This window comes from Homo sapiens, chromosome 8 (genome assembly GCF_000001405.40).
Source record: "Homo sapiens chromosome 8, GRCh38.p14 Primary Assembly".
In the NCBI taxonomy this organism is placed as follows: Eukaryota; Metazoa; Chordata; class Mammalia; order Primates; family Hominidae; genus Homo; species Homo sapiens.
Genome location: NC_000008.11, coordinates 18841274 through 18864978, shown reverse-complemented (window position 1 = coordinate 18864978; position 23705 = coordinate 18841274). Strand labels below are relative to the sequence as shown.

Genomic DNA, 23705 nt, shown 5'->3' with positions numbered 1-23705 from the left:
TTGTTGTTGTTGTCGGTGGTGGTGTATGCATTCAATTTGAAGGAAAATTTACCAGGTCAATAATACACACGTTTCCACACATTTTTAAAGCAATCAGTGAGCTGGCCTTTTAAAATTTCATCTGCGTTAAAACATCCCTCTGCCGAGGCAAGGAAGTGGACATTGAGGTATTAAGCCTGTCCTTCAGCCAAGCACTGAGGGCCCAAGTGTTAGAATTAAAGGAAAAAAAATTTCCCATTGTATTAATATATTTACAAAAGAAAAGTCATAAATAAAAGCAGTGGCCATGCCTCCATTCCATCTGTGTTCACTCGCCTCTCCTGCTTCCTTGCTAGTGGTGGGGGTCTGAGTACATTGCATAAAGTGAGCTCTGAGGAAGGCTTAAAAGAAAAGGAATAAGACTAATGAATTCTCCCCTGATCGCGCCTCCTTGATATTTGGTAGACATGAACCAAGGAAATTAAATATTGATTTTAATGTATAAAGTGTTAGTCGCTAGCTTGTAAAAAATATTATTACTTTAGCTAGTCTCTGAACATAATTGTGTGTCATATGTGGCCCATAGGTTTGATTTATTTAGTAAACACATGATGCTTCGTTCTCATAATGAGCTATAGGGGGAAGAAAGGAACTATTAGTGTTCTAATTTTCCGAATAAGGAAACTGAGGTACAGAGAGGTTGAGTAACTTGCTAAAGGTCACACAGATGGTAAGTGGCATACTCAGCCCTCGAACACAGGCAGTCAGCCTCCAGAGCCCGTGCTCTTACTGAGCTATGCTGAACTGGACCAAGTGGTAATGATTTCATGGTAGATCTAGAACAAGACCAGATATCTTCAACAAAACAAAAATGTATTTGCTTTGCTATTGCCTAGATTTACTTAAATCCTTTTCTGTTTCAAGATCTGTCTTTACTTTGTCATTAAAGATTATTTCAGTGGCGGTATTGGACAGTGATTTTTTTTTTGAGCACAGGATGACACTGTTCTCGGCTGAATTGCTCTTTTAAAGAAAGGTGCAAGAGGTTGGGAAGGCTGATTGTGGTGTTGTAGCACTTAGTTCCTTCTCTCAGGAATGCCTTCCAGTCTTGGGCTCAGCCATCCTTTGGCGGCCAGAGGGACACTGTTCTTCCCTGTTACTCTCTCTACTCAAGTCAAAGAAGAAAATATTCCAAATCTATAATATTCTAGTATGCAGTTGGGAAAGACAGTTTTTTTTTTGAGTGCGTGTCTATTTGTCTTTAAAAGTATTAAATACCTTTGTGACATCAAGCGGCTCACTCTGTGTAAGGTGAAAAGCCTCTTAAAATCCTGGAATAAATCTGGATGGACTATTAGATTGTCACAAACATAATTAAGTTTTTTGTCATTACTTTCAATGGCAATACTGCAATTACTTTTGCACCAGCCTAATGCATTCTCCCAGGTGCTTGCTCTGCCTGCCTGTTGATGAGTGAGCCACATGTCAGCCGGAAACAGCTCAGCCTCTGCATGGAACACAATATATCAATGAAGAAGCAAAGAGGAGCATCCCCTCCCCATGTAGCCCAGCTACATGGCCCTCAGGCTGACCGGGGGTCAGCGGTGCTGTGTGAAGTCCTGTCACATGGCTCCAAAATTAGAAAGGATAATTAGAGACTTACAATTATACACGTTTCAATGGGTTCCTTTGTGTCTGAGTGCTTCTCGCTCGCCGGCTTATCAGCAGATGACCACAACTTCAATCAGTAAGTTCTTAAGGCACAAGTGTTGTCACTGTGACCATTAGCTGGATATTGTCCATTTCCATTGAACTTGGGTTTGGACAGGAGAAAAAGAAATAGCAAATACCGTGACATGGCAGGAACTTCTTTTTTGGTTCTTTGGAATATATGAAGCTGCTTTTTGAAATAACCTTTGTAGCGTGATGATCTATTTTATATCTAAGCTTCCAAGTTTTCCTTTCAGATCTTGCTCGGGATACTAACGGGTATGGCAGAACAGGTGAATTACATCTGCGTGCAGCTGATCTGCCTGAGGGAAGCGCTTCAGTCTGTCTTCAGCCCACTCTGAATTTGATATTTGTGGGGATTTTTTTTTTTTTTTTTGCCTTGCTCTTATTTCTTTCTCCTCCTTCTCAAATGGAATGCAGTGTTTGGAAATTATTCTCTTTCTTCCTCAGTTTTTCTCTATCTGTATTGTTTGTCCGCTTAGGAAGAATTCATGTGAAATAAGAAGTAGAAATTTGTTGAAGTGCGATTTGAAAAACTGTTTCAACATCCCAGTTTAAACTTGAAGTCACTTTAATATAATATATAAATATTAAAAGAATAATTTAAAATAATGTGACATTAGTGAAGCTGGTGACAGAGAACAACATTTTCATGTTGTGAAATTGGAGAGATCTGGCTGCCCACGGAGCTCCGGGCTTCTTTTCTGCCATTGGTGCTGGGAAGGTCTGCTGCCTTGTGGCTTCATGAGCCTGTTGCTGTTGCTCCAGTAATCTCTTTAATCCTTTTCTTTTACATTTTAAATTTGTTCAGTCAAAAAAGAGGTTCTCATTTTTCTCTTTCTGGCTTCTTTCCAAAGTAGTGTAATGGTGATTTGATTTTTTTTTTTTAAAAACCACAAAGGAGTTCCTGCTCAGTGATGTGGGTTAGGGGCTCTTCTAGGTCTCAGAGCCATTTATTCCTGGTTTCGAATTGTTTCACTTTCTAGGTGCGTATTTTTGAATAAATACATAAAATCTGGGACCCTCTGCAAGCGTAAAATGAAATGAATAATACCTATCTCGTAAAGGAGGAAGGAGGAGGAAACGAGATTAATCAGATGGAACAAAAATCAAGAAAAGAAAGTCAAGTGGCCTAACAATGTCCGGTACCCAGTAGGAGCTCATTAAATACAAATGAATACCAATGACAGTAGTAACCCAAAGAAAAGTTATTCTGCCACTCGGCCATGGACAGAAGTCCTGCATCGGACCCTTACTACGGGGCTTCCTTAGAAATCACTTTCTGTCTATGAAGCACAGTGCACTGTGGTAGGTGGAATAAACCTGGAGGGTTGAGACTGAAGAGAAGAGGTGAAGCCATCCTCTTTTCTGGCAGCTTGTTCTCGGGGAGGTCTTTTCATTCGTGGAACTTCTGATTGCTTATTGGTAAGATGGAAATAGCCTTATCAACCAATGTGCAGTTTTGTGGTAAGACTTTGCTAAGTTCTAATTTGTGGATATTTATTTTAAACCTATCATGGGTGTTGTAGTAGTCTAAGAGTCTAAGGAATAATAAGAAAATAGATAAGAAATAGCCTGGTAAAAAGAAAGATGCAAGGATTTGATGAATGTTTGACTCTAGGACACATGGGGCTGAGTCAAAATGATTGTGAGAGTTCAAGCATGGGTGACTGGCTGGAGCAAGAAACCCTGCACTGGAGTTGGGGGAAGCAGCAGGTTGGTAGGAGGACACCTAGTGTGATCAGATATAAAGAGGTCAAATTGGAGGAGAGAGAGGGTTACTTGTGAAGTGCTGGTGGGAATATGGGACTGAAGGTCACTGGAGAGACTTTGGAGTCACCCTTTTAGATGTAAGACTTGCAGCTGTGGTTATGAGAGGGCTCTCAAGGGTGAGGAGTGGGCTGAGGATGGGACTGTGAGGAGGGGCTCACACAGGAGCACTTGGGTTTTGCTTATGTGTCCTTCTAATGCCATCTCTGTAGAAAATGTGCCCTGTAAGGTCAGTTTCCTGGAAGCTCTTCTGTGTGTTGTCCCTTCTCCAGCAGTGGGTCGATTGTCAGGGAGCCCAGGATGGAAGCTAAGTGCACTGGTCATTGGTTGTTCTTTCAGTGCCCTTCAGACAGCCCTTGCCCTGGTGGTCTTGTGCCCTCCCTGTCTGTTTGGTGCCTCTTTTATAAATTAGTGATGACTTCAGGAAATGGTCCTGGATTTCAAATAGCTATTCCTGGAGACATTCTAATTCTGTGGTTTAAACCTTAAAACAAACAAACCAAAGTAATTCCCTGGATATTGGTGGCTACTGGTGTGAAGAGCATGGTGCGGCGCCTGTTACTTGGATGAGCTTTGATCAAAGAATGGCATCAAATGATAACAGACATTGGAGGTATAAGTGATTACAAGGAGAATCATAGATCTAAATAAAAATGGAATGGTGGTTAATACTTTAATTGATCGAGATGATACAGCAATATTTTTATTCATATATCAGTACAATATTTAACTTTTAAAGGAAGTGATATTCATCTTAGCAGAGGTCTCTTAGCACCATATTTGCAACATTGGATGTTATCCATTGAGCCTTGTTTTGGGGAGGAAAAAAGACACCAACTTTCTTGAGTAAATTGTTCTCTGAAGGTGTTTTACACAGGAATACAAATTTGCCTGAACTCAAAAGGGTCTTGTTTACAGTACTTTAATCTTGTTTTTCACTTCATAAGCCCTCTGTAAACTGAAATACAGAGCTACAGGCAAACCTCATTTTATTGCACTTAGCTTTATTGCTCTTTGAAGATACTCTGTTTTTTTTTTTTATTCAAATTACAGATTTGTGGTAACCCTGCCTCAAACAAGTCTGTTGGTGCCATGTTTCCAATAACAGGTGCTCACTTTTTGTCTCTGTGTCACATTTTAGTCATTATCTCAATATTTCAGACTTTTTCATTACTGTTATATCTGTTATGGTGACCTGTGGTCCCAGATCTTTGATGTTACTATTGTCATTGTTTTGGGGCCCCATAAACCATGCCCATATAACGTGGCAAACCTTATCAATAAGTTTTGTGTGTTCCGATTGCTCCATGAAACCAGCTGTTCCCCCTCTCTCTCCCTCTTCTCGGGCCTCCCTATTGCCTGAGACACACAATATTGAGATTATGCCAGTTAATAACCCTGCAATGCCTCTAAATGTTCAAATGAAAGGAAGAATCTCATGTCTCTCACTTTAAATAAAATTCTAGAAAGGATTAAACTTGGTGAGAAAGGCATGTTGAAAGCCAGAATACGCTGAAGGCTAGACCTCTTGCACCAAACAGCCAAGTTGTGAATGCAATGAAAAGTTCTTGAAGGAAATTAAAAGTGCTACTTCATAGAACACATGAATAATAAGGAAAACACCTTATTTCTGATATAGAGAAAGTTTTAATGGTCTGGATAGAAGATCAAATCAGCCACAACGTTTCCTTAAGCCGAAGCCAGAGCAAGGCTCTAACTCTCTTCAATTCTCTGAAAGCTGAGACAGGTGAGGGAGCTGCAGCCAAAAAGCTGGAAGCTAGCCGAGGGTGGTTTATGAGGTTTAAGAAAAGAAGCTATCTCCGTAACATAAAAGTACTAGACGAAGCAGCAAGTGCTGATGTAGAAGCTGCAGTGAGTTATCCAGAAGATCTAGCTGGGATAATTGATAAAGCTAGCTACACTAAACAACACATTTTCACTGTAAACCAAATAGCCATCTATTGGAAAAAGATGCTGTCTAGGACTTTCTTAGCTAGAGAGTACGAGGCATCGCCTTTTCTTAAAGCTTGAAAGGACAAGCTGACCCTTGGTAGGAGCTAATGCAGCTAGTGACACTAAATTGAAGTTAGTGCTCATTTTCCCTTCTCAAAATCCTACGGCCCTTCAGAATTATCCTTAAATCTACTCTGCCTGTGCTCTAGGAATGGAACTACAAAGGCTAGATAACAGCACATCTGCTGACAGCATGATTTACTGACTATTTTAAGCCCACTATTAAGACCTACTGCTTAGAGGCAAAAAAAAAAAAAAAAAGGATTTCTTTGAAAATACTACTGCTACTCATTGACAAGACGCCTGGTCACCCGGGAGCTCTGATGGAGATGTACAAGAAGACTGATGTAGTTCTAATGCCCGCCAACACAATATCCATTCTGCAAACCATGGATCGAGGAGTAATTTTGACTTTGAGCTTTTTTGGAAGGAATATATTGTGTAAAGCTGTAGTCACTATAGATAGTGATTCCTCTGATGGATCTGGGCAAAGTCAGTTGAAAACCTTCTGGAAAGGATTCACCATTCTAGATGCCATTAAGAACATTTATGATTTGTGGGAGGAGGAGGTCAAGATATCAACATGAACAGGAATTTGGAAGATGTTAATTCCAACCTTCATGAGTGGCTGAGTGGTTTGAAACTTCCAGTAGATTAAATAACTGCAGATGTGGTGGAAATAGCAGGCGAACGAGAAGTGGAGCCTTAAGATGTGACTGAATTGCTACAGTGTCATGATAAAACTTTAATAAATGAGGAGTTGCTTCTTATGGGTGAATAAAGAAAGCGGTTTCTTGAAATGAAGTCTACTGCTGATGAAAATGCTGTGAACCTCATTGAGATGACTACAAAGGATTTGGAATATTTCATAAACTTAATAAAGCAGTGGCAAGGTTTGAGAGGATTGACTTTAACTTTGAAAAAAAAAAGTTTTGTGGTGGGTAAAAGATGATCAAGCAGCCTCACAGGCTACAGAGAAATATTTTGTGAAAAGAAGAGTCCATTGATGCAGCAAACTTCATTTTTGTCTTATTTTCAGAAGTTGCCACAGCCACCGCAACCTTCTGCAACCACCACCCTGATCAGTCAGCAGCCATCAACATTGAGGCAAGTCCTTCCATCAGCAAAAAGATTAGGACTTGCTGAGTACTCAGATGATCATTAGCATTTTTTAGCAATAAAGTTTGTTTTTAAAGGAAAGTATGTACACTGTTGTTTTTAGACAAAATACCGTTGCACACTGAGAAACTACAGCGTAAACCTAACTCTTATAGGCACCAGAAAATCCAGAAATTTGTATCACTTGCTCTATTGTGATATTTGCTTTATTGCAGCATTCTGGAATTGAACCAGCAATATATCCAAGGTATGTCTGTCTATTGAATTGGCTCAAGCTGTTAGCAGAGCCTTCATTTTTAGTACTTGAGACAGACAGTGGTCATGGTGCAAGGGAAGGTAAATAAGTTTCTCATGAATGCTAATGAGGATTAATATTAATCTCTGTCCTGTCTAATGTTAGATAAATGCTTCCATTTTGTAATCCCCATACCTCATATGCTGTTTCTTATGCCTGTGCCTGACGCTCTATTTGCAGGTATTCTACTGGTCTCTGAATCTAAAATTACAAAAGGAAAGCCTTAAAAATCACACACACTGAACTCCTGAGATTTTCTGATGTTTTTACTCACCATCTTGCCACCCAACAGCATTCACTTGGGAGCTTATTAGAATTGCAGAATCCTCAGCCCCACCCTGACCTACTACATTAGAATCTGCATTTTACCAAGAGGTCCAAGTGGTTTACATTCACGTGGAAGTTTGCAAAGCACTGGTCTACAACGGTGGTCCATGGAGCAAAGCTTGAGTAGTAAAGCTGTAGCACAGTAGTTCTCAAACTTGATTGCTCATTAGAATCATACAGGGAGCTCTGTAAGCTTCTCATCTCCAGCCTTCACCGTCAGAGATTCTATTTGTTAGAGTGGCACCTGGACATGGATAGCTTTAAAAGCTTCCCCGGTGATTCTGATGCGCAGCCTAGGTTCTCAACACCTTGCTACTCCCAGGTGTGGGCCTCAGACTAACAGACATCACCTGGACCTGGTTAGAAATGTGTCTCTCAGATACCACCCTGGACCTGCTCGAGCAAAATTTGCATTTTAACACATTCCCAGGTGATCCATGATCACGTTGAAGTTTGGGAAGCGTTTACTGGAAGCTGCTTTTGAGAGGCGTTTACTGCAAGTTGCTTAGAGGCAGAATACAAAGTTGAGCCAGTCCCCGTTCTCAGGGGGATGTGGGCCTGTTAAAGGTAACTCCGCTTTTGGAGGGGAGGATTCTCCTAACAGAGGTTTGGGAAAGTGAGTGCTCCTGGCTGTGAACCTGGAAATGATTTCTTCTGTTGTCTTAGGTGTGGTGGTGATAGGGAGTCCCTCCAAACTATATCAGCAGGGATTGATTGATTTTCCTGCTTAGGAAACGTATGGTTGGTGGCGAAGAGTGTGGGTTCTTAAGTCGGAGTGCTTTGGTTCAAATTTTAGTCAATTCTCTGTCTAAGTCATTTACTGGCACATAATCAGTAATCATTTACTGGCACTTAATGAGTACTCAATAAATGTTGGCTATTATCAGTAATAACAGTGCTTGAAATGCTTGAAATGTCTTTAAAACCTCTTCAAAGTCACCCAGTATGAATGGACTGTGGTAAAATCGAATTGACTTGAGATGTTGTTTTTCTGTAATAATAATTCTAAGAGCCTTCAATTCCTTGACTCTGAGGAGGTTTAATGATAGTTTCTTTTATTGTCTTTATAATTACTCTATTTAGAAGCCCCACCTCAACGCAAACAAGGTGACATTTTCTTGTCAAGAGTAATATTATAAAGTCTTTAGTATAGAGAAAATAAGATGTATTGAATAGTTACTATTGCGAAGCAATCCTAAAATTTCATTATTCGTAGTTGGCATTCACTTAGCAACTATTTGAGGATTCAGCACGTAGTATTAATAGTGTTATACTTCGCTACAGGCCTGTCTCTTCTGTTAGGCCGTGGTCTTCTCAAGTTCTACGTTTTGGGACTCAGAGAACCCCTGGCATAGTGGCCAGCACATACTGGGCACTCAGTTTTTGTTGAATGAAGAACTTAATGAGCAGCTGCTCTATAGTAGATACTAAGGTGTCTCCCAAACAGGCAGATCAGATAACTTCAGAAATAACTCTAGTGCAGAGCCCAGAGAGCCAGGCTTCATGGTTCTGAGTTGGGGGTTACTTGCATCGTGGGATGTCACGGAGGTCCTTGTGGGGGTGCTGCATTTTGAGGTGGGCTGTGAAGGCTGAGTTGGCTATGTGTAAAGGGTTGTGGGTGGCGTGGAGCAGGGTGACATGCCAGAGAGAAGGAGCTGAACTATGGCAGAAGGAGCAGCAGCTGCTTGGATTTGGGGACTTGAGAGTGAAGGGAATTGTTAACCTCTTTGCCCCCTGTTCTGTTAATTGTCCAGACTGAACAGGTGTTGCTGCACTCAAAGAGGTTGTAGTCATTATGCAGTTGGCTTTCTAAAGCTTCTGTAACATTTGAGGCATACCAAAAAGTGTAGACAATAATAAACACCTGTGATCTCATCATCCCACTTAGGAAATAAAAGTATTTCAGATGAATTGCAAACTCCTCTCCTCTTTATGCCCCCAGATCTCATTCCTCTCTTTCCTTCCCTACGTAGTGAAGTAACCATGAGCTGCTGATGTTTATCATTCCTTTAGAGATGTGCATCTGTAATCATTAGACAGTGTTTCACACACTTTTCAGCTTCATATACAAGCTATCTTGTTTCCTTTTGTGAAACTGGCCATTGTGTCTGAGTTCTTTCATACATGCAGGTTGCCTTTGCCTGGCAGTGGTGGCTGCTTTTTGAGGACATACCTGTATTTCTAGATTGTCCCTTTCTGTCTTTACCCTTTTTTCCTCAGTATTTGAAATTCATTCTTATTGACTCAGCCCTAGTTTGATCAGTTTAATTGCTGTATAGTATTCATTATGTGAACATACTATAACCTATTTTTTTCATTTTTCTATTTATGGGCATTTTGACTGTCATATTATGTCAAACAGCATGGCGATGTGCACAGAACCTTCATGTGGCTTTTTGGGAACACATGGAAGAACTTCTCTAGTCTGGGTATATATTTAGGAATAAAATTACTGCATGGTAAGTATAATCATTTTCTGGTAAACCAGAACATTCTTGAAAGGGCATATTACATGTTCTTCGAGTGTATAATTTTTATCCACTTCTGTTTAGAAAGTAATTTTTAGTCTTTTAAATCTCCAGGTCCTCATAATCCCCGTATCCCAACAAAAATAGCAGGATCCCCAGGAAAAGCATGGAAAAGAAACTGAAGTGAGGCTGGTCTCCTATCCCTGTTAGGGCTGACACACACTCTGGCATCCATTGGTTAGGTCTGGCGGCCACGGCTTCCAGTGGATCTCAACTCCTGCTGTCCCTGGTTTCTCGGATGCCTCTGTGGCAGTTGTTGCCTGTGTCTGACAGCTGTGTGTGTTGCCTGGCCACTTACGTGTCTGAAGCAGGCTTTGGACAACCAACAGGACAATAAATATTTTCACATCCACGAGCAGAAAAAACAAAACTAGAAATGAAAATAGAAAATCACAAATTACATGAGATTAAGTGTGAATTTAATAGAGCTAAATTGTGTATAATATTAATGACTTAAATCTATTTTGTTGTCTATTTCAGTCAAGTGTGAATTTAACAGAGCTAAATTGTGTATAATATTAATGACTTAAATCTATTTTGTTGTCTATTTCAGTCATTTCTTTAGGACCAGGCTGTGTGTGCTGTAGGAAATTGCAGTCTATAAAATAGTTGTTCAAAAAACTTTAGTGCTATTAAACCAAATCAGTGGCAAAGTTACTTTGTTTTGAACGATGCTGGACAAATGTCTCCTTTCCCTTAAACGGCAACCACTCCAAATAAGCTTAGACAGTTGCCTTTTCTGACTGCTGTCAGCTTGCCATCTGGCTCTTAAAGAGTTAAACTAGAGGTTTGTGAGGTCATGAGTGACTTCATTGGGTCTGGACTTTTGAAGCAGGTCTCTTGGAGGGAAGCTGTGTTGAGAGAGGAGGCTGGGAAGAGGGGGACGTCCTCCTTCAACTTCTTTCAAGTTCGTATCCCTGAGCCCCTGAGGGATCCAGTGGCATTCTGGGAGAATGTCACTGCGGAGTCAGTGTGTAGCAGTTTGTACTTGCAACAGAAGCAGCTTTAGAAGTACATTAAAAGAGCCCTTGCGGAAGATGAAAGTTTGCTGAGCAGATGGAATGGGAGAATGCTCTTCAATTCCTGACAAAATTATGGGCAGACTGTTTGCTGACGAAGGTAACTGGAAATTGGTGTATTGTCTTTGTCTGGTCCTAGGCAGTGCTGGATTATGTATAATTGTAATTGTAGAAACTTCCTTGGATTTGAAAATAGATTATTTCAAATGAAAAGCATTGTAAGGAGATCCTAGGAAAGACTTAGGAAAATGATCATATGTTAATTTCTAAATAAGGATGACAAATGAAGAGTATATTTATTACAGGGTCTACAATGTTTGGGCAAAATGAGATTTTTCCCTAGTGGAGTTGTGCTGCTCTTTGAGGCGCTTAGACATAGCTTGGTGTTCCTAGACTGCATGTGAACTCCAGCTACCCTTTGTGAAACTTCATCCAGGCTGTGGAAGGTCACTAATTTGAGCTTAGTCATGTAGTGGGGTCCGTAATGACTACTGCACAAGGCTATCATTCTTATTTTGGTATATCACTGCTCTGAAGGGAAAGTTGGCTGTGCTGTTAGTATGGAAAGGTGATTCACCTTAGAATTCAACGTTTTACTGAAACTTCAAAGATTAACCAGTTATCTAATGAAAAGGGCATAGGGAGTTTTTTTTTTCCCCCTGGAGCTGAGGGAATTTCAGCCTCACGGTTTCTTTCTGGGAAAGTTTCTGTTGTGATGTTCAACAGGCAGGGGATAAGTGAGGTCAACGATGCTAAAGAAGGGGAATTGAGCCTAGTCCGTTGATATTATGTCCATTTTCAAGATGCCTGGGATTGAAGAATAATTCCTGACCATCCAGAACCCAGCAAGAACTCCAGGGCTTGATCTTCCAGGGTAGTCAATGATTATAACAGGTGTATTTGTGGGTATGCATTGGTAACATTGGCATTGCTTGCCTTGACTATGGATTGTAAGTTCCTATTTCCAGTATTTTTATAATGCCATTTGTCTGGCTAGCCCATCAGTATAACAATTTTGCCTCTTCTGTTTGGACATTTTGTTTCATAACTTTAATAAGAAATGACAAAGAGAATATTTGAGGGAAAAAGGCCATGAAATATATTTTATGAGAGACATAAGCAGAGTGGCTCTGAGTCTGACTTAGGAGTCATAGGCCCATAGGCTTCAGTTTTACTCCTTACAGTTTGGTCTCTAGCAAGTTACTTAACCACTTCTGAAGCTCAGCTTCTTCGTGTATGAAATAGGAATGATAATAGTATCTAACATGAGGGGTGGTGGCTGTGAGGATTAACTAGTGTGTAGTGCATGGGAAGCAATTACCATAGTTCCTTCTGCTCTAAAAGAGCTCAGTAAACATTAATGATCATTGGCTATTATGACGTTTAAATTGTGCTTCCTTATGTGAGGCACGTGAGGACTTCGATGTTAGAGCATGATGGTGATGAATTTGAAGTTGTGGGCAAGCTCACACTGTAAACACATCAGGGCTTCCTTGTGGCCAGGTTCCAGGGTAGCACCTCTGTTCTCGTCTCAGTCAGTTGGGCATCTCTCAAATGCAGCCTTCAGTGGCAACGGGGGCTGGGAGAGGAAAATGGGTAGATTACCGCAGGTCCATCAGCACTTTGTGAAAACATCTGTGTGCTCATGTAGTGTGGAGGGCATGTCAGTTTCATAAATATGGGGAGCAGCATTGTGTACACATGTACCCCATAGGCAGCATGTGACCCACTCAAGAAAGGACTGTCAGAAACTGGCCATTGTGTCTGGGTTCTTTCATAGGTGCAGGTTGCCTTTGCCCAGCAGTGGTGGCAGCTTTTTTAGGACTTGTCTGTATTCCTAGATTGTCCCTTTCTGTCTTTACACTCGAGGAGTTGGTAGCTGTGCAGCTGTGTGAAAGCTGCTTAGCTTCTCTGAGTGCCTGGTCTGAGTTTCCTGGTCTATCACTTGTAGATAATATTTTTATTCCATGGTTATTGAGATTAAATGAGATAAAGTATGTGAAAATGCCTAAAAGAATTAAGTACTAAAGACTTTTTTTTTTCCTGCCTCAAAAATGGCTCAATTTCTTCTGTTAACAGTCAAGGGAAATTTTTGTAAAATTTGTAAATAAGAATCTTGTTATACTTTATAAAGGTCTTACATTTAATTCAGTGTTTCTAAAGCTCTTGTTTAAAACTGTTGTGTGATTAGTTTACGTCACCTGATGTCAGTTTCTTTTTGCCTTCACCACTTTCCAGTGTAGACTGTCATCCTTATGGGTTTTAGATTGAATTTTGATCTAGTTTTCAAAGATATTATGAAAGGAATACAATGCCAACGGTAAAAGTTCCATTGGTCCCACTCTCCAGAAGGAATCTCCACTGTCAGTTTCTAGTCTATCCTCACAAGGCAGAATCTGTGTAGCTCTTTGGGAGCTGATTTGAAACTGCCTTGTTGTTGCAGAAGTACAGATGTGGTAGGGAAAGTTCTGTCGGGCTTGCCAGCTCCCTGTGCAGCTCGGTCCCTCCCTGCAATTCCGTGGCACAGTGTCTGGAATGTCTGGAGCTCCCTTGATGGGAACCGCCTGCACAGCTGGGTTGTGTCACCAAGAGCCGAATGTGCTTGACAGGTCTAGCTCCAGCCATGCTGCTGTGGGACATGTGATTAACCCAGAGTTCCTGTAGGAGAGCGAAGAGCTTGCCTCGTAGCAGAGGGCTGGTCTGAATCCACTCTGGAATCCTGTCCTGAAGTCCTGAGGAGACAGAGCCTGCTTTGGGTTCCAGCTGGGATTTTAGTCATTGTTTAGCTGGCCGGAGGCTGTGGTTCAGTTGGCCCTTTGGTCTATTGTTATATTTGGCTTTTTGTCATGAATATCTTTGGGTGGAGGTAGAGTAGAAGGTGCTGAATATGGAGTTGGAAGATGTAGGCTCAACTTCCGGCCTTGTTGTTTACCAGCTATGACTTTGGGTAAGACTTCCTTGGTCCTCAGTTTCTTTACTTGCAAGATGGGACTATTGTGAGGATGAAACAAAATAACTATGGGAAAGTGCTAGATGGACTGCAGAGTGCTCTGTGGATTTTTTGGTTTGTTTATCTTATTGGATGTTCAAAGGACAGTGGCTTATTCCTCTTACCTGTTGAGATAGACTGAACTGTTGATGCTTCGCAGGCCAAGGAACAGTTGTAGCTGTCTGGTGTTCTGGTGTCCTTGCACTTTGTCTCGCTTTTGTGGAGATCTTTTGTCCCCTCTGTTCTTGAATGCTCCTGGTATGCATAAGAACCTGTATTCAGAAGGGAGGGGGGGCAATAGAGTTTCTGTGCCCAGCATGTTCTTAAGGAAGCCACTCCCTTTTGTTGATTCAGCTGGTCCTTTATTGAGGCCCTGCTTTTTAGCAGGGGAACCTCTGTTGGTCCAACTCTGCTATTGATGGTGAGACTTGGGAAGAGTCGCGTCCTCTCATGACCCCTCAGTTTGCCCATCTGCAGAGGGGGTTGAGCTACAAGACCTTTTTGTGCATGGGGAGGAGAGATAGTGACTATCTTTCCTTTTCTACTTCTCCTTTACCTTGCTGTATTCACCGTCTTACTGGGCAATTTTTGCCTCCTTTTAAATAACTTACGACAATTGTCTTAGAAAACATAGGACAAGTGAGTAATGAGGCTGAACTTCTAGCTGAGATGCCATGTTGACTTCTGAGAACTAAATGAATGAAAATCTCTTAAGGGTGACAGGGTGTTAAGGATGAGTATCAAATTGTCTTGCCTATAATCTGCTGATCTTGACATCGCTTTGTTTTGTAATCATCCACAGCTGATCATCTTTGATCAGGGCTTCTGGGTCTCAGATCCATTGTTATAGGAGCTGTGAGTACCTGAAAGGAGCCAGGGAGAAAGGATGTCATGACAGCTGGTGGCTGAAATAGAGATGCCACCATGAGAAGACATGGAGAATGAATATCTTTCAGCGTGAGGCAACAATCCCTTTGGGACAGGGGAGGGGCCTTTGCCAGGCTATGTGGGAGATGTTTGCATTGCTGTGGTTCTGGTTTTCAATGCTTTTCATCCATCCTGGTTTTCTCAAGCTCTTTATTATCTGTATGTTGTTGAACAGAGAAGTACATCTATCCTGTGTGGACATTTTAGTCTAGCTTTCCCATGGCAAGACTGAATTCCTAGATGACAGTAATAGGATAACATTTGTATTTCTTCAGTATTTTGCTGCTGAAAAGATAAACAAGAAGAGTTAAATCTGTCTCTGCAGCTGATTAACCAGAAGGCTCATTAATAGCTCTAGTGGTGGGAAACAGTCACTGGCTGCTAGAACTTGTGCATCTAGCAAGTCCCTTGGGGAACTCATCGATTGGACCAAGGGTTGGAGACCCATGGAAGATGTGCTTCTGGTTGAAACAGTTTACCTTAGATATAAGGAGAAAAGTTTACCTTAGACATGAGGGAAGTCATAGTTTCAAAAGACAAGGTCAGTCAGTAAGAGGAAAGAATCCACCTCAGAGATTCATTGCAGAAGGTCACTTCCAATAGATGGCATGGCTGATAGTAGATTTGTAATTACTGTAGCGCCTCCGAATGATATCTGGCCTCATGGGAGCATGTAGCCTATGAATGCTGTTGCCATAGTTGTGAGTAGGAGGATAATGCCGATATTTCAGGTTTCTAGAAATGTAAATGATACCTAGTATAGACCTCGGCCAACATGTAAGAAGAGGCAGATGAAAAATATTGAAGTGCTGTTAGCATAAAAATAGCGGACCATTCAGCCGTAGTTTACATCTCGGCTGATATGAGCGACTGAAGAGAAGGCAGTTGAGGTGTCTGATGCATAGTGCATGGCCAAAAATAGTACTGTAATAATCTAGAGGGTTAGACAGGCACCAAGAAGTGAGCCGAAGTTTCATCATATAGAAATGATAGATGGTGTGGGAAGATCAATGAATGAGTAATTGTCTGTGATTGGAATTCTCTGTTTTAGACCCTTTCATTTGCAATGTAAGTGGAAATTCTGTTGATTTAGGACTTGGCACTTTTTACTAAATCCCTTTACCTTGCATAAGTTTTCTAACAAGTAGATGAATACCTATTTAGTTGCCAGGTGTATAAATGCTGCTTCGGGACTGGAGGCAGCGATATGGCCAACAGGTGTAGAAGATAAACCTAAGGGTGATCTAAGGTGATTTTGGCCTTGGATTTTCTGACATCTTGACCTTTGGAAGCAAATCTGTCTCATCTTGCATTACAGCTTTGAATTCATCATTGATTGACTTTGTGGAAATTGCATAGCTGAGCATTTCTTAAAAGCTTAAACATGAGGGAACCAAGAAGTATCCGCTTGAAATGTAGCCAAAGAATGGCAGTTGCCACATTTTTGTATGACAATAAACAACCTAGACCATAATCCCCACCGTCTCTGCATTCCGCCCCAACCTAGGGTGAGTTTACTGGTCATTCTGGGACTCCTCTGTGAGCAACAAGCCAGTGTTTTGATAGTAATTTCTTTCTTTAAAGGAGAAAAACATTTTTAGTAACAACAAAAATAGGCACCCACCACTACACATACATACAAGAATATTTCTAGAAGCACCCCTACATGAGAGAGAACATACAGCACTTAGATTTGAGCCGCAGTCTTATTAAGCGTTTAAAACTTAATCACCACTGCTACAAGCTGCTTCTCAGTTGCATGCCTGGCTTGGCTGCCTCTCCATGGGAGGTGGCCATTTCCTGAGTCAGCAGTATCTCTTCCTGTGGCACCCAGTTCTTCTTGGGAGGTCTCAGGGCCATGCAACCAGGGGACCAGCTCTGGCAAGAGGCTAAGAGATCCATCTGCAGATGCTAGGTTGCAGGCCAAGGGTGGGGTTGCCCTACGCAGTATGTATTCAGTATCAAAATCCATGTTTTGTTGGCTGGGGTAGAAGTCATATTTATGTTGTGTTGCGTTCAGTTTTAGGAAAACACATCTGAAGACTGTCTGATGTAACTGTACACCAACATGGTTAAACAGTGAATGCCTTCTTTTAGAGAAAGTTACTTCACTGTAAAGGAAGTAACAGGATTTAGGGATTTTTTTTTTTAACTCTCGAAAGCTTGTGTATCTTGTGATCAGTAGCTAGCCTTTTTGTGTTCTGATGCTGTTCTTTTCACCTGCTTTCTTGATGACACGTGTTCCTTCCCCTCTTTTCTTTCTCTTCCCTGCCTTTGCAGTCTGCTTTATCTTCAACATTCTTTGAGTTGTCATGGGTCTTTTTCTTCCCTGAATATTTAACCAGGCTCATGTCTCCCCGATTGTTTCTGCAGCCCACATCCTATCTTGCTGATTCTCACTAGCCATTCATGGAGGAGGACTTTAAGTTGTTATGCTGCTATGGCCATTGCACATCCAAGGCCAGCGTGACTCTGATCCCAGGGTAGCCTTGTGTTTGCGGGTGCCACAGAGGGTCACCAGAAAAGCATTGTGCTGGGAGTCAGGAGACTTTGGCTCTGGCCCCAGCTCTGTTTATATCTAAGTTCTTCATCTCTCTCTGAAGCTTTCTTTTACTTATCTGAAAAATTAGATTTGGTTAAATAATTCACATGGTGTATTCCACCTCTGAAAACTCATTACTTGACGGTACGAAATCATACTAATTCTGGCTCCTTAGATTAGTTATTTGTGACCAGTTAGGATCGTTTATTCAAAACAAATTGAAAACAACGAGGATACTGGGATTGGAGCAGGTAGAATATACCAAAAAAGTAGCAACAGTGTGCATAGCTTGCCCAGTGATTAAGGCAGAGCAAGGGGAGGGAGGGAGAGAGTGCTTTTGGCTGGTTTGCAGTCTTCCTGGGCTGCCTACACAGCTTGACGTTTTGCATTGTTCTTTCATGGAAGTAACATCCACTGGTTATCTTCACTCTGAGTTGACTGATGGGAGATATTTACTTTGAAACCCCAATTGCACCTTTTCCAGGAAGGGAAGCACCAGGACAGTAGGAGATCATACTGCAGTCTCTTTTCCTTGGCTCAAGTGACTGGTTGATGGTGCCTCTTCTCCATCCCTTTTCAGAGGGGCCTGGTTTCTCGCATGAAAGCAGAAGTGTGCGCCTCAGCAGCGGAAGTGAAACCAGCATGTAAGAGGTGAAAGGCAGTGTCGAGGCCAAATCGGGAATTTCTTGACTCTTGCTTATCCAGGACATGGGTATTGTAGGCACAAATTGAGGCGAATTTTTCTCCCTTTAGAGTTAAGGGAGCATGGGATTGGCAGGGTGGGGCCTGGGGTTTTCCTGGTACTTCACATGAGCTCTGTCTTTGGCTGTGTCACCTACCCGTTTCTGAGCTGACCTCATCTTTAAAATGAGGTTGTTGGGCCAAGCCAAACAATTTAGGGTTTTTTCCAGCACCAACCTGCCATAATCTGTAATTTCCCTCTTCATGAGCAAGACCCCTAGAGAGATGTGGCAAGTGAGGGCAAAGGGAGTTGAGACCAGTCGGTTTTGCCGGCGCCTCCCGTGCATCCTGCAACTTCTATCCAGGCAGAGGCCGTCTTTTAATTTCTGCACAGCACTAAGTCCAGGTTACCACAAGATGTTTGAAAGTTGATTGTTACTTTTGGTCAGTGTACTGATTTGTTGGCATTTGTTGATCATTTGTCAGCAGTCCGTGACCCTCTCTGCCAGGAATACAACCTCCCAGAGACATTCATGGCTTCCTGGTGTGAGTTTCCCCAGGAGTAGCAGTAGAACCTTCGAACCCCTGTACCTTCACAAGGAACATGTTTCCCTGCAGGGCGTGGTAGAAACTGTTCTATCGTTAGTTTCCGCCCCCTACGTTTCTGTTCATCTGATTTTTCTTCAAAAGCCTCAAGGACATTCGTAGCCCCACAGCCTCTGTTAAATGTTGGCATTCAGGTTGAAGGGCCTACTTGTGCCCTTGAGCCTTGGAGTGAGGTTTAGCAGGGAATATCACTGTTTCTCTAGAGAAATATTTACCTTTGCCTTCTTGGTAATGATATCACAATCAAAACATTTGTATTGCTACTGATACGGTCAAACACATGCGTTAAATGGCTTATTAAGAATGTTTTTTGATCATGAGGGAATCTGCAAATCTTTCTTCTATCTCTCTTTCTTTTGCTTCCACAGGGTAACTTTATAGTCAAATTGATAAGCATTTAATATACATCCCATCTCTACAAAGAATACCAGTCTAGTCACTCCCAGAGAGTGGAATGCTTTCGCTAGGCTCATACCATTGATTTAGGCGAACAGTATTGAGTGGAGATTATTACAAATGCATTTAATTATTCATGCTATTGGTCAAGAAATATAAAGGATTTCATTTAGATGTGTTTATTTTCTTCCAAACAGTAACTTCAGTATTCTTTCCCATAAAATCCTGAGACTAAGTGACCAGTTTGAGTTCCCTTCTTCCGCCATTTATTTTAATTTTTTTTGTAGAGGTGGGGTCTTGCTATGTTGTTCTGGCTGGTCTCCAACGACCGGCCTCAAATGATCCTCCTGCTTTGCCCTCTCAAAGTGTTGGGATTACAGGTGCGAGCCACCACACCCACCCTCTTCTGCTATTTCTAATTGATGCTGCAGTAGGCCTGTGAAACTCCTGCTGTCAGCAGCAGGGAGGGAGAAGAGGGAGTGAAAGAGGTCCAGCGGCCCTCATGGGTGTGGCTGACACTGCCCACAGTGTTGGTGGGGGCCGCCCCAGAGCACTCTCAGTGTGGACGCACCTGTCTTCCGAATGCCGTGCTATGCACCTGGAAGTGACGAGTGAAGGACTGATGAGGGAGTTGCCACCCTGCTTATGTCAGTAAGTCTGAGAATGCAGACAGGACCATGTGAGTGGGACAGTGCAGCCGCCAAAGGCCTAGGGGACCCCATCCACTCCAGGAGACGCAGGGTTTCTTCAGCTCACTACTGAGATGACAGCCGTTCCTCTCGCCATCCTCTTCAAAGTCATATCTATGATCAATACCCTTTAACTCATAAATTACCTATAATTTATGCTGCCAGCTTCTTGGAGTAACAGAATCTCAAATCAGAATGGTAGTAATGAAATATTCTTTTTACTTTCAAAGCAATATTCTAATAGACAAGATACCATATTTTTACCTCATGTTTTTCCTTTAGAATATACTTATCCTCAAGTTAAAATTTTATCCCCTTTACATAACAAGATTTTAGAAAATCTAGGCCAGTTTGAACTCCCATGACGTGCTTTGAGCCATCCATGGCTGTACATTCCCAGATTTTAGTGCAAAGCCTTTCCCACCAATTTGGAATGAACTGATCATTGTAACCAGCTTTGTATGAAACACTTGTTTCGGATCCCAGCGCTGTAGTGATGTCATTTTCTTTATACCCAAAGTAAATGCTATGCAGAGTAGCTTATTCTGGAATTTGGCTGTACGATTCTTCTCTTGGTTAAAATCTTCCATAGCAGAGGAGCCCTGCTAAGTGAACAGTCTCTCTTACACATTGGTTTTTGTGCTTCTAACTAACTTTTCTAATAATCTTATTTTTCCCTGAGAAAGCAATCCATCCTATTTAATGTGGAGTAGGGGTTGTGGTTGGAAATGAAAACAAATCCAGTATGTTCTAGTCTGATTTTTTTTTCTTTTTTAGCATCAGTGTGTTTTCAGTAGAAGTGATTCAATCTTAATGTGGTTTGGGCTCAAGGGTAGAGAACAATAAGAGCTATAAATATAGTAGACAAGAGGGGGATCATGTTTAGTCAAGATAAAGTCTACTTTAAGTTGTTTCCATGTAAGACCTTGAACTAAAAAGAGGAAAGGTGTTAGATCTCCTAGGACTCATTATTAGAGTTTTAAAGTTTCTGATGGAAGGTATAAGTGTCTATCTTAAATTATTTATATATTAATGAAATACAACAGGGAAAAGATCAATTTGTAAAAAATTTCACCATCTTTAGAATTCTCAGGGGACCCAAGGGAGAAGGGGAACTTTATTTTCTTTCTTTCCATGGTACCTTCGTATTTGAAGACTAATTATCAGAACTCTTGGAGTTTTTAATCCTGGGGAGATACAGCTCTTAGATAATTATAGGTAATTTATGAGTTAAAGGGTATTGATGGGAGTCTTCCCATAATTATGTTAAAATTTGGAACCCCATAGAGCCAGCTGCTGGACATCTGTCTTGTGGGACCAGAACTCAAAACCCAATGGACAGAACCTTGTGTAGGGTTAACCTTGTTTTTTTAAATCAGGATATTTGTCTTCATAGCCCAGCTTGCCCATTTCCTGACAGTATTGCCTTGGGTAAAAAAAAAAAAAAAAAAATAGTCTATCTTATAAAGTGGTTATAGAAGACCTACTTCCTGGAGATATTGTCAGGATCAATTGAGATAATGCTTGTGAAGTGCTTGACATGGTACCTGGAACCAGTAAGTGCACAATAAATATTGTCAACTGTCATTCATCACCATCACCACCATCATCAGTACTGGAATATACCTCTATTTTACCATGCTTTTGATATTAGTTCCCTTAATCACAAAGCCCAGATTAGCAACAAATAACAGTATGGCACACTCATTACTTCTCTACTTCTCTATTCTTTGTACCGTTTTTGATGCCCTTGGGTCAGGGGTGTTAGGTGAGGACTGAAATTGTATCTCAAAGCTGTTATTAGAAGAGGAGAACGCATTATAAACCCAGAATACAGAGTGCTCTGAAGTATCTTTCCATGGAGGAGGGGTTTTCCTAATACCTCTTATATTACTTCGTTATATGAAGGGAAAGGGAAGAAAATGGAGAAATTAAAATATTCTTTGAATTTTGCTCAGATGTTTAGGTATGGTGATTCTAATTCCTCATGCTGCAACTTGTCTACCTAGAGCAATAACTCTTTTTTTTTTTTTTTGAGACGGAGTCTCGTGCGATCTCGGCTCACTGCAAGCTCCGCCTCCCGGGTTCACGCCATTCTCCTGCCTCAGCCTCCCGAATAGCTGGGACTACAGGCGCCTGCCACCGCACCTGGCTAATTTTTTTGTATTTTTAGTAGAGATGGGGTTTCACCGTGGTAGCCAGGATGGTCTCGATCGCCTGACCTCGTGATCCGCCCGTCTCGGCCTCCCAAAGAGAGCAATAACTCTTGCTACTGGGTTCCTCTAATACTACTGATGGTTTTATGTTTTTATTAACAGCTATAGCAAAGGCAGCCTTTTTGAGTGGCATATTGACTGTGGAAAAAATAACATGGAAAATGAATTTATCTTTATAAAAGAATGATATGAAAATGTATGGGTTTTTGCTCAAGGAAAGTCCATGCCTGGTTCCATGTGTTCTGGCAAGAGGGAACTTCTGAGGAAGGCTTCTTCTGTACCTTAACATTGCATGAGGCTTCATTTAATCAGTGCATTCATCCCTGATAGATGTTTGTCTAAAACCTTTGCTGAAGAGCTCTTCTTCACTGAATATTAATAGTCTGTATACTAGTAAAGCCATACAATTTTTTTTTTTTTAGACGGAGTCTCGCTTTGTCGCCCAGGCTGGAGTGCGGTGGCGCTATCTCGGCTCACTGCAAACTCCGCATCCCGGGTTCACGCCATTCTCCTGCCTCAGCCTCCCGAGTAGCTGGGACTACAGGTGCCTCCCACCACGCCCGGCTAATTTTTTGTATTTTTAGTAGACACGGGGTTTCACCGTGTTAGCCAGGATGGTCTCGATCTCCTGACCTTGTGATCCGCCCGCCTCGGACTCCCCGAGTGCTGGGATTACAGGCGTGAGCCACCGCGCCCGGCCAAAGCCATACAATTTTGTGAGAGCTATTTATCTTAAATTATCCAGATTGCTCTCAAAGAGAACCAAAATTGTTTTTCCCATGTAAATCCCTTATGAGAGCATTTTTATGTCCTACTTCTAAGTAGTCTCTACAGCGCAAAAGGGTTATAAAATGCCATGTAGACTTTGGAACTGTGCAGTCTTCAGCTGCCTTGGGTTTATGGGAATTCACATAGTGATGTCGCATAGAGTAGCTGTGGCTTTGGTCTAAGCTGCTCTGGCTGTGGGCCAAATGCTAGTTGGTGTAATCCTCTGTCAGCAGATGCCAGGCTCATTATGGACCCAGCAGTAGGTACTTTTTGCTTCTTGGTATTCCAAGACTTTGGAAATCCTGGTTAACATGGGAAGATGGTGAGGTCTTACTGGGTTTTTGGCCTTGGAAACAGCAGAGGAGAGCCATCCACTGCCTTTCTGCTCCTGTGACACGTGGGCAGGGTTTCTGGCAGCTCTTCCTTCCCTACCTCTCCACTGGTCTGAAGTATTGTTTAGAAATAGAGTAGGTTTTATATCAAAAGTCTAGTTTTTTTTAAAGTCTTTAATGAAGGGATTAGGGTCTCTTTACTAGCTAATGTGTTTAGATTCATTTTGTCATCCTCATGTGTTTAGGGCTTCTCCCCCAGGTGGAATGGTGTAGAAGAATCTTTCTATGCCTGTCTTTCAGAGACTTCCTGAAGATGGTTCATTCATGTTAGCGCCAGATGGAGGTCTCTTGAAAACTCAAAGAATTTTGGCTATCTTCATTATACTTGAGTCGCCTAGGCATGACTGGTTGATACTAGCTGGGCACAGACCAGAGAAGCCCACACATTCACCAGTGTCCTGCCTCTTACCCACTTCAAACAATGCCTGCTCTTCCACATGAGACCTAGAGAGCCCCGTCTGCTCTCTCCATGCTAGTGAGTGTTTAAATTCAGTGTGTGTGTGTGTGTGTGTGTGTGTGTGTGTTTAAATAGCAGACACTCTTAAAAATAAAGATTTACTAAGAACTTTAAGTTTTATCAGCTGTTTGAAAGTAGAGCTGCTTTGTTGAGAGCCTGAATGGGAGCTGCTGAGCTCCACTCTCTGGGCCTCCCCAGCACTCCCAAGGTGCTGTGTTTTAGTGGGCTGCCCTCGCTGAGAATACACAACAGACTTTTTTT

The 23705-nt window shown here is 41.8% G+C and overlaps 1 protein-coding gene and 1 long non-coding RNA gene across 26 annotated transcripts in view, besides 3 other annotated features; one reads left to right on the top strand and one right to left on the bottom strand.

Annotated features, from left to right (window-relative positions):
* PSD3 (pleckstrin and Sec7 domain containing 3) overlaps positions 1-23705 on the top strand; it is a 557503-nt gene that overhangs the window by 219827 nt on the left and 313971 nt on the right. For 4 of the 25 annotated variants that reach the window (NM_001412885.1, NM_001412886.1, NM_001412887.1 and 1 more), the window contains exon 1: positions 10616-10881. The exons of 20 other annotated variants lie outside the window; for them this stretch is intronic. The gene's annotated coding sequence lies outside the window, so the exon portion shown is untranslated. Of the gene's footprint in view, positions 1-10615; positions 10882-16529; positions 16645-23705 lie in introns of those variants that run through there. One more of the 25 variants, NM_001412888.1, reaches the window with a different exon arrangement.
* On the bottom strand, positions 2064-10503 carry LOC124901897 (uncharacterized). The gene is made up of 2 exons (XR_007060839.1): positions 10421-10503; positions 2064-10132 (listed from the first exon to the last, which is right to left on the bottom strand). It is a non-coding gene; the product is annotated as an uncharacterized LOC124901897 (long non-coding RNA).
* Positions 17508-18008: an enhancer, noted in NCBI's record as "H3K27ac hESC enhancer chr8:18704481-18704981 (GRCh37/hg19 assembly coordinates)". NCBI's record gives its function as "activates a minimal SCP1, AML or CMV promoter by ChIP-STARR-seq in primed H9 embryonic stem cells {active_cell/tissue: H9 hESC(primed)}" and the evidence as "EXISTENCE:reporter gene assay evidence [ECO:0000049][PMID:30033119]".
* Positions 18009-18509: an enhancer, noted in NCBI's record as "H3K27ac hESC enhancer chr8:18703980-18704480 (GRCh37/hg19 assembly coordinates)". NCBI's record gives its function as "activates a minimal SCP1, AML or CMV promoter by ChIP-STARR-seq in primed H9 embryonic stem cells {active_cell/tissue: H9 hESC(primed)}" and the evidence as "EXISTENCE:reporter gene assay evidence [ECO:0000049][PMID:30033119]".
* Positions 18015-18174: an enhancer, noted in NCBI's record as "active region_27054". NCBI's record gives its function as "activates an Ori minimal core promoter by ATAC-STARR-seq in GM12878 lymphoblastoid cells {active_cell/tissue: GM12878}" and the evidence as "EXISTENCE:reporter gene assay evidence [ECO:0000049][PMID:35858748]".